Here is a 9,715-nt window from a genome sequence, read left to right on the forward strand (position 1 = left end):
CACTCTCCAGTCTCATCTCTCAGTATTGCTTTCTCCAGTCCCAAACTTCAGACCCACTGCATTTCAAACCATGGTCTTTCATTTCTCCAGGATTCCATGCATGACGTGACTTCTGCCCAGGATGTCCTTCTCCATCTCTTTATCTAACAACGATCAATTCATCCTCCAAAATCAGCTTAGCAGACATCTCTTCCAGGAAGCCTTTTGTACCAGACCCAGCTTATGGGTCACCCCAGATCCATTTGGCCCCATCTGCACTCCTGGGCCTCAGCCACTTGCCTTGTTTCATGTGTGTGTGTGTGTGTCTGTGTGTGTGTCTCTGTGTGTGTGTGTTTTGAGGCAGGGTCTTGTTCTGTTGCCTAGGCTGGTGTGCAGTGGCATGATTAGGGCTCACTGCAGCCGCAGCCTCCCAGGGCTCAAGCAATCCTCCCACCTCAGCCACTGAGTAGCTGGGACTACAAGTGTACACCACCTCGCCTGGCTAATTTTTTTAAAATAATTTTTTGTAGAGACAGGGTCTCACTATGTTGTCCAGGCTAGCCTCAAATTCCTGGATTCAAGTGATCTTCCCGCCTCTGTCTCCCAAAGTGTTGGGATTCCAGGTGTGAACCATCGTACCTGGCCTGCCTTGTTTCTTAACAAGCGCAGCTCTAGCAAGGGATCATTCTATTTTCACAGCTGGAAAGAACTGGCTGCTGCCACTCCTGCCACAGACTAAGGACCTCTTTGTGTGGTGCTGACCGATAAGGAGAGACCACCCACATGTACAGGCAGGGACTTTCAGGGACGCTGGCTTCTGCATCAGCCGATGACAAGGCCCGGAGTGGGGGCAGTAAATATCCTGTGGGTATCCTTTGACCAACAAGAGACAGGAGATGGGAAGAATCATCAGCTCAATTGTTTGCCCTTTTTTCTCCCCAACTGTTTAGAGATTAAGAGGCTCTGTGCAGCCTCTTTGAAGGGGATGGAGGAACCAGCTGTGTTTGCTGCAAAGCTTCCTTGGGCTTGAACCACTCCCCATAAAACACTCATAGGCAAGCCATACCCTTAGGTTCTGTTTTCTGAGGATCTGGGCTGAAGAGCCTCCCCACCCCATGCTGCCACCATCCAACCAGTCTGGGTGGCAAGGAAGAGACACATTCGGACGATCTCAGACTCCAGCAGGGATTGTTAGAAGGATCACAGGGAACCCAGACAGCACTACTTACTCAAGCCAGAAAAAAGAGCTGTAAGGTCATTCAGGCCCCACGGCAGCTTTTGTGCCCCCAAATCAACTCCGATAGCCCAACATTCTTGGACTCAGCTGTTTGGTCACCTTGCTTCTTCCTACTCTCCCCTGACCCACCGAGGTTGCCATTGCCCCCTGGCCTTTGCCTACTCTATAGCTTCTGCTGATTTACGGCTTCTGCTTAATTCTGAATTCTCCTTCCTCAGGGCTTCTGTGTCCCATTCATTCAGACTCCCCAAGAGAGATCGGCATGGGTTGCTTGGTTGCCATTCAGTACTGGGTGGCATTGTTGGCAAAGTTGTGCATTGGGCTCCCTTGTTACTGGTGGTCCTGGTCCAGTCCCTTGAGAGTGTTTAGAAACATCTGCATCAACTTGACATTGCTGTGACATTTACAAGAGTGTGACTGACAGGCTCATCTTTCTAGGCACAGGTCAGTGTGGATAATCTCTAAATAAAGATAGGCCTGGTCAAATATTGAACATGCAAGGTGATTAACAATTTTTTTTTGTGTAGAGATGGGATCTTGCTCTTTTGCCCAGACTGATCTCGAATTCCTGGTCTCAAGCAATACTCCCACCTTGGCCTCCCAAAGTCCTGAGATTACAGGCGCCAGCCACCTCACCTGGCCAAAAGCAGATTTTTAATAAAATAATCGTCAAAAGTCTAAGTTGTCTGTGAATTGCACATGACATGAGCTATGTGATAGTCTTGCAGAGTAGAACCAACAGGAAATTTTAAATAACAAACCAGCAACAGGTCATTTATCACAGAGAGTCTGAGAATCACTGGGAAGGCTGCAGTAAAGGAATCTGAGCGGAACTTCCAGAAATAACTCTTAAGCCACAGAGCAGAAACTGGGCCACCAAGGAAGCCGCCGCCTCTGTCCCCACCAGGAAGCTGCCTGCAGAACCAGGGCCCCTGCTCCAGCTGCGGAGTTTCAGAACCACCCCACCTCTGCTGCCAGCCACACTAGCAAAGCGGGTGTCTCGGGTGGCTCCTGTCTTCATGCCAGGAAATGTGGGAATGTGTTTTGCTTCCCAGCTCCTGCTGTAGAAGCTCCCTAGAGGAAAGCTGAAATGAATGGCTAGTAAGTGCAACCACGGTGTCCATTCAAAAATTCTACACTTCCGTAACAATAGGACTGATGTCCTGTTCCCCCAAGCGGTCACATGCTCCTTGACCACAAGCATATGCACATTTTGTTTGTATTACCTGGAATGGTCTCCTTGAATTTCTGCTGGTCAAAATCCTATTCATTCATTCATTCATTCATTCATTCAACAAATCTCTGTAAAGTACCAGGCATGGCGTAGGCTACTCGGGATACCAAAATGAATATGGCAAAGTCCCTGACTTCAAGAGCCTCATCATCTGGTTAGGGAAATATACATGAACATAAACTACACTGCTCTTTTCCTTTCTGTCCTATTAAGCCCTTTACAATGTAAAAGAGTGAAGTACAGGGACGAAGAGTCCAGCTCTGTAGTCAGACTTGCCAGCTGTGTGACTTTTTGGAGACAGGTCTCTCCCTCTCACCCAGGCTGAAGTGCAGTGGTGCAATCATCAGGCTCACTGCAGCCTCAACCTCCCAGGCCCAAGTGATCCTCCTGCCTCAGCCTCCTGATCAGCTGGGACAATAGGCATACACCACCACACCCAGCTAATTTTTTTTTTTTTATGACAGGGTCTCACTATGTTGCTCAGGCTGGAGTGTGATTTTTATTTTTATTTATTTATTTTGAGATGGAGTCTTGCTCTGTCATCCAGGCTAAAGTGCAGTGGCACGATCTTGGCTCACTGCAACCTCCACCTCCTGGGTTCAAGTGATTCTCACGCCTCAGCCTCCTGAGTAGCTGGGATTACAGGCATGTGCCACCATGCCCAGCTAATTTTTATATCTTTAGTAGAGACAGGGTTTCACCATGTTGGCCAGGCTGTTCTCAAACTCATGACCCCAAGTGATCCACCCACCTTGGCCTCCCAAAGTGCTGGGATTACAGGCATGAGCCATTGCGCCCGGCCCCTGCAGTGTTTTCTAATAAGTTACTTAACCTCTCTCAGCCTCACTTTTCTTTTTTCTTTTCTTTGAGACGGAGTCTCGCACTGTCACCCGGGCTGGTGTGAGCGATCCCGGCCTGCTGCAACCTCTGCCTCCTGGGTTCAAGTGATTCTCCTACCTCAGCCTCCCGAGCAGCTAGGATTACAGGTGTGCACCACCACGCCCAGCTAATTTTTTGTATTTTTAGTAGAGACAGGGTTTCACTATGTTGGCCAGGCTGGTCCTCACTTTTCTCATATGTGAATGGCAATAATAACAGCACCTGCCTCATTGGGCTTGTTCTGAGCATTTCAAGAGATACTGCTGAGGAATCGCCACATCTAGGAGGCGTGTGATACAGGCATCAAATGGGCTATCGTTTCCTGTCCTTCAAAACCTGGTTACATGTTACCTGTCCATGAGCTCCCCCTGCTCCCACTGTGGGAAATGAATCACTTCTCCCTCTTTTCCTCTCATCAGTGCTCACATTCATCCTCTGTGAGACACACCTCCAAGACATCAGAAACTCTGGGAGGAGTGTCTGTATATATACTTGCTAAGCTATTGAAAACAAAAGCCATAGGAGTGACCTTTGTCAAATATTAAATGCTAAAGGAGTTTTGGTTTTTGGTTCCTTTTTTTTTTGGTTTGTTTTCAGACCGGGTCTTGCTCTGTGGCCCAGGCTGGAATGCAATGACGCAATCATGACTCACTGCAGCCTCAACCTCCTGGGCTCAAGTGAACCTCCCACCTCAGCCTCATGGGTAGGTGGTACTACAGGTGTGTGTCACACTCTGTTGCCCAGGTTGGAGTGCAGTGGCACGATTTCGGCTCATTGCAACCTCCGCCCCCCAGGTTCAAGCAATTCTCGTGCCTCAGCCTCCTGAGTAGCTGGGATTACAGGCGTGTGACACCATGCCCAGCTAATTTTTTGTATTTTTAGTAGAGACGGGGTTTCGCCATGTTGCCCAGGCTAGTCACGAATTCCTGAGCTCAGACAATCTGCCTGCCTTGGCTTCCCAAAGTGCTAGGATTACAGGCATGAGCCACTGTGCCCGGCCAACGGTGACAATTTTCTTAATCCACCTACACACTGTGTATGTACCATTTTCGTCTGTAAGCTCAAAGCCCTGTGTTTTCCTTCACATTTCCCTTGGCCTAGCACATGTTAAGAACCCACAAATATGAGCAGTAAATTAATGAATGAATACATTTGTATTTGCTCTGACACATATAGTAGATTTGCCAAGTGCAAAGTTCTGAGGCCTGTACCTTGAGCCCTTTAGAGGAAATGACCTATGGAAACAGATTACAGGCAGGAAAAATAGCAATAGTAATACGTCATTTACTCGGTGTAGCGGGGATGAATTATGGTCCTCCCAAATATATGTTTTCATCCTAACCTCTAGAACCTGTGAATGTGACCTTCTTTGAAAAAAAGCGTCTTTGTAGACATGATTTAAGAATCTTTAAATTAAGGATCCTTAAATTACAGATCTCCAGTTGAGATCAATGGGATAACCCCAGTGTCTTCTAAATCCAATGACAGGTGTCCTTATAAGAAACAGAAGGCCAGGCACGGTGGCTCACACTTGTAATCCTAGCTCTTTGGGAGGCCGAGACAGGAGGATTGCTTGAGTCCAGGAGTTCAAGAGCAGCCTGGGCAACACAGTGAGTGAGACCCCATCTCTACAAAAAATAAAAAATTAGCTGGGTGTGGTGGTGCACACCGTAGTCACAGCTATTCAAGGAGGCTAAGGCAGGAGGATCATTTGAGCCCAGGAGGTGAGGTCAAGGATGTGGAGAGCCATGATCACCCACTGTACTCCAGCCCAGCCTGGGTGACAGAATGAGAACCTGTTTCAAAAAAAGAAAAGAAAAGAAACAGAAAAGGAGAAGGCCATGCAAGATGTAGGCAGAGATGGGAGTCAGATAGCCACAAGCCAAGGGGCGCCTGGAGCCACCGGAAGCTGTAAGAGGCAAGGAGGGGTTCTCCCCTGGGGCCTCAAAAGGGAGCACAGCCCTGCAGACACCCTTTCAGATTCCTGCTTTTGAGAACTCTGAAAGAATACACTTCTGTTGCTTAAACCACCTGGTTTGTGGTATTTTGTGACAGTAGCCTCCAGGTACATTGAGCGTGTTTGTATGACCCTCGAGCTGAGATTAGTTTTTATATTTTTTTAGAGTTAGGGTCTCGTTCTGTTGTCCAGGCTGGAATGCAGTGGCATGATCATAGTTCACAGCTCACAGCAGCCTCGACATCTTAGACTCAAATGATCCTCCTGTCTTAGCTTCCTGAGTAGCTGGGACTACAGGTGTGCACCAACACACCCAGCTAGTTTTTTTGTTTTGTTTTGTTTTTTTCTAGAGACAGGGTCTCACTGTGTTGCCTAGGCTGGTCTTGAACTCCTGGGCTCAAGCAATCCTCCTGCCTTGGCCTCCCAAAGTGCTGGGATTACAGGCATGAACCGTTGTGCCCAGCAGGTTTTTATATTTTTAAACGGTTGAAAAAAATCAAAAGAAGTGTATTTCATGGCACACGAAAATCTTACAAAATTCAAATTTCAGCATCCATAAATAAATTTGATGGGAACAGCCCTATCCACTCACTGACAGATCATCTCTAGCTGCTGTAGTGGGTTGATTGTGTCTCCCTAAAAGGTAAGTTCAAATCCTAACTCCTGGACATGTGCAGGTGACCTTATTTGGGTCTTTGTAGAGGTCATCAAGTTAAGATGGATTAGGGTGGGCCCTAAATTCAATGAATAGTGTCCTTATATGAAAAAGGAGGGGAAGATTTGGATACAAAGACCTAGAAATATGCACAGGGAAGAAGGCCAAATAAAGACAGAGGTAGCTGGGTCCAGTGGCTTACTTCTGTAATCCCAGCACTTCGGGAGGCCGAGGCGGGTGGATCACCTGTGGTCGTGAGTTCAAGACTGGCCTGACTAACCTGGAGAAACCCCATCTCTACTAAAAATACAACATTAGCTGGGCGTGGTGGCACATGCCTGTAATCCCAGCTACTCGGGAAGCTGAGGCAGGAGAATCGCTTGAACTTGGGAGGCGGAGCTTGCGGTGAGCCGAGATCATGCCATTGCACTCCAGCCTGGGCAACATGAGCAAAACTACGTCTCAAAAAAAAAAAAAAAAAAAAAAAAAAAAAGACAGAGGTAGAGGAATGCAGCTATTAGTAACAAAAGTCATGGCAAAAACCGCAATTATTTTTGCACCAACCTAATGCAAGCCGAAGTTTGCCAAGCAACAGCCCCAAACCCAGCTATTTGGGGCTACAGCAGTGGACCTGAGTAGTTATAGTAGAGATTTTATGACACCCAAGCCTAAAATATTTACTCTGTGGCCCTTTACAAAAAGTGTGAGCCAGGCCAGGCACGGTGGCTCATGCCTGTAATCCCAGCACTTTGGGAAGCCAAGGCAGGAGGATCGCTTGAGGCCAGGAGTTCAAGACCAGCCTGGGCAACATAGTGAGACCCCATGTCTACAAAAAATTTAAAAATTAGCTAGGTGTGGTGGTGCATGCCTGTAATTCCAACTACTTGGAAGGCTGAGGCAGGAGGATCCCTTGAACCCAGAAACTCAAGGCTGCAGTGAGCTGTGATTGTGCTACTGTGCTCCAGGCTAGGCAACAGAGCAAGACCTATTTCTTTAAAAAAAAAAAAAATAGTGTTTGCTAACTCTGACCTAGAGCATTGCCATTATTTGTATAGTTGGAGATAGCATACCACTATATCTGCCAGGGGAAAAATAAACCACTCTGTTGGTAGCACTCCATTTTATAGATCGGGAGATAGAAGCAAAGATAGGTTAAGAGAGTTATCCAAAAGAGGTGGCCAGCTGTCATCTCTGCATGTCAAAACATCTCATCCATCTTTTTCCAGCCGCAGCAACATGACTTTCCTTGGGGGAGAGACACCCCTTCCCACAGTTCCCACAGTTTGAACAGGGCTGACTCCACCTCTTGGTTCCAGGGCTGGGTACCCAACTGTATTAGTCAGCTCAGGCTGCCTCTACAAATACCATAGATTGGGTGGCTCCAACAACAGAAATTTATTTTCTCATAGCTCTGGAGGTTAGAAAGTCCAAAATCAAGGTCTGGTAGCATTCCGCTTCTGGTGAGGGCTTTTCTCCAGGCTTGCAGATGGTCTTTCTTTGGTCCAACCACATGGAGAGAGAGCCGTCTCTCTTTCTTCCTCTTATAAGGTCACCAATCCTATCAGATTAGGACCCTATCTTTCTGACCTCATTTAACCTAAATTACTGCCGAAAAGCCCTATCTCCAAATACAGTCACATTGGCCGTTAAGGTTTCAACATAGATTTGGATTGGAGTTGGTGGGGGCACTACCTGGGCAATGCTAATCAGTGCATTCCCTTGCTTGGTGACTTTAGCATATGACCCAAAACTATCCCAAGTCATGGCATTTACCACAACTTTGAGAAAAGCAAGCCTCTCTGGCCAGGCGCGGTGGCTCACGCCTGTAATCCCAGCACTTTGGGAGGCTGAGGTGGGCAGATCACCTGAGGTCAGGAGTTCAAGACCAGCCTGGACAACATGGTGAAACCCCATCTCTACTAAAAATACAAAAATTAGCCAGGCGTGGTGGCGCATGCCTGTAATCCCAGCTACTCAGGAGGCTGAGGCATGAGAATCACTTGAACCCAGGAGGTGGAGGTTGCAGTGAGCTGAGATCGTGCCACTGCACTCCAGCCTGGGCAACAGAGTGAGACTCTGTCTTTAAAACAAACAAACAACAAACAAACAAACAAACAAAAACAGGAAAGGCTCTCTTTTCTTCTGCACTGAAGACAATGTGAGACTACAGCAGCCAAGGGCATATGGAGGACCTGTGGGGAGGACAGCCCACTTAAAAAGCAGAGAGCTAAGAAGTGAAGGGAGAACAGGTCTGCATAGCATTGAGGCACCTAGATTCAGCTGTACCTGAAATCCCCTCATGGATCTCAGTTAACATGATACAATAATGTGTGTGTGTGTGTGTGTCTATGCGTGCGTGCACTTAAGCCAGTTGGAGCTGTGTTTCTGTCACTTGCAAACCTAAGAATCTTGACTGGTAGATGATGATCTCATAGCTAATATTAGTAGATGGGATCTGAAGGCAGATCTGCTTAGCTCTCAGGGGCCCAATTTAGGATTTACTGGGAACAACCCAGAAGCCATCTTTTGAGTCCTGGTTCCCAGGTGGCAGCTGGGTTCTAACATGTTTTAATATATTCACCCTTGCTCTCTTTAAAGGTCAGTGCCAGCAAAGAAGGTGTAATGAGTGTGAATAAAGAAAGACAATTATTTAAATAGATCAGATTATTTCAGGAAGTGCTCCCTGTTATGAAACAAAACAAGCTTCCTAGGACTGAGGTTCCAATGTAGACCCAGACAAAGGACCCCCAAAATTCCCAGCAGATGAGGAAGAGACCTTCCCTGGGCCCCCTCCTGGGAGTTCCACCCCTTGGTTTCTGCCCAGCTCTACAAAGGCTGTGTAACCTTGTGGGGGAGGGGGGAAGGGGGGCAGCTGAACCTGCCTGAGCTGAACCTGTTTGTGCCCCTTTCCTCCACTGGGAAAATAATTTTATTTTAATTTCATTTCATTTTATTTATTTTATTTTTTCAGAGACAAGAGTCTTGCTCTGTCACTCAGGCTGGAGTGCAATGATGCTATCATAGCTCACTGCAGCCTCGAATTCCTGGCCTCACTCAAGCGATCTTCTCGCCGCCTCGGCTTCCCAAAGTGCTGGGATTACAGGGGTGAACCAGCATGTTCCGATGAAGTCTCAGGCCAAATGTCACCCCTGTCATCCTCTGGTTTCCACAGGGTAGCCAGCACCTTCTCACTCCCTCGGGCACTTTTGTTTATTTTAGAGCGTTTTCTTGCTGTGGAATCCTTCCCCCCACTTTTTTTTTTTTTTTTTTTTTTTTTGAGACGGAGTCTCACTCTGTCACCCAGGCTGGAGTACAGTGGCGCGATCTCGGCTCACGGCAGCCTCCGCCTCCCGGATTCAAGCGATTCTCCTGCCTGAACCTCCCGAACAGCTGGGATTACAGGCGCGTGCCACTACGCCTGGCTAATTTTTGTATTTTTAGTAGAGATGGGGGGCGGGGGGGGGGGTCTCACCATGTTGGCCAGGCTAGTCTCGAACTACTGACCTTAAATGATCCGCCCACTTCGGCCTCTCAAAGTGCTGGGATTACAGGCGTGAGACACTGCGCCCAGCCCCTTCCTTTTTTGATTCCCATTTTTACAAGGCTGTAAGCTTCACGAAGGACAGAAACCTTGTCCATCTTGTCAACTATGATTTCCCCAGCACTGTGGCTCCGACCTGGCACATGGTAGGTGCTCGGTGAATACTGGTTTGAACAGACGACTGCGGCAGACGGCAAGGGCCACTCCTGTGCCAGGGCCTGCCACGCCACCGC

At 47.8% G+C, this 9,715-nt stretch overlaps 3 annotated features.

The window, feature by feature from the left end:
• Nucleotides 1,841–2,699: an enhancer, noted in NCBI's record as "H3K27ac-H3K4me1 hESC enhancer chr16:19117151-19118009 (GRCh37/hg19 assembly coordinates)". NCBI's record gives its function as "activates a minimal SCP1, AML or CMV promoter by ChIP-STARR-seq in primed H9 embryonic stem cells {active_cell/tissue: H9 hESC(primed)}" and the evidence as "EXISTENCE:reporter gene assay evidence [ECO:0000049][PMID:30033119]".
• Nucleotides 3,777–3,876: an enhancer, noted in NCBI's record as "active region_10526". NCBI's record gives its function as "activates an Ori minimal core promoter by ATAC-STARR-seq in GM12878 lymphoblastoid cells {active_cell/tissue: GM12878}" and the evidence as "EXISTENCE:reporter gene assay evidence [ECO:0000049][PMID:35858748]".
• Nucleotides 5,025–5,114: an enhancer, noted in NCBI's record as "active region_10527". NCBI's record gives its function as "activates an Ori minimal core promoter by ATAC-STARR-seq in GM12878 lymphoblastoid cells {active_cell/tissue: GM12878}" and the evidence as "EXISTENCE:reporter gene assay evidence [ECO:0000049][PMID:35858748]".

The sequence above is a fragment of the Homo sapiens genome, chromosome 16, assembly GCF_000001405.40.
Source record: "Homo sapiens chromosome 16, GRCh38.p14 Primary Assembly".
Classification (NCBI taxonomy): domain Eukaryota; kingdom Metazoa; phylum Chordata; class Mammalia; order Primates; family Hominidae; genus Homo; species Homo sapiens.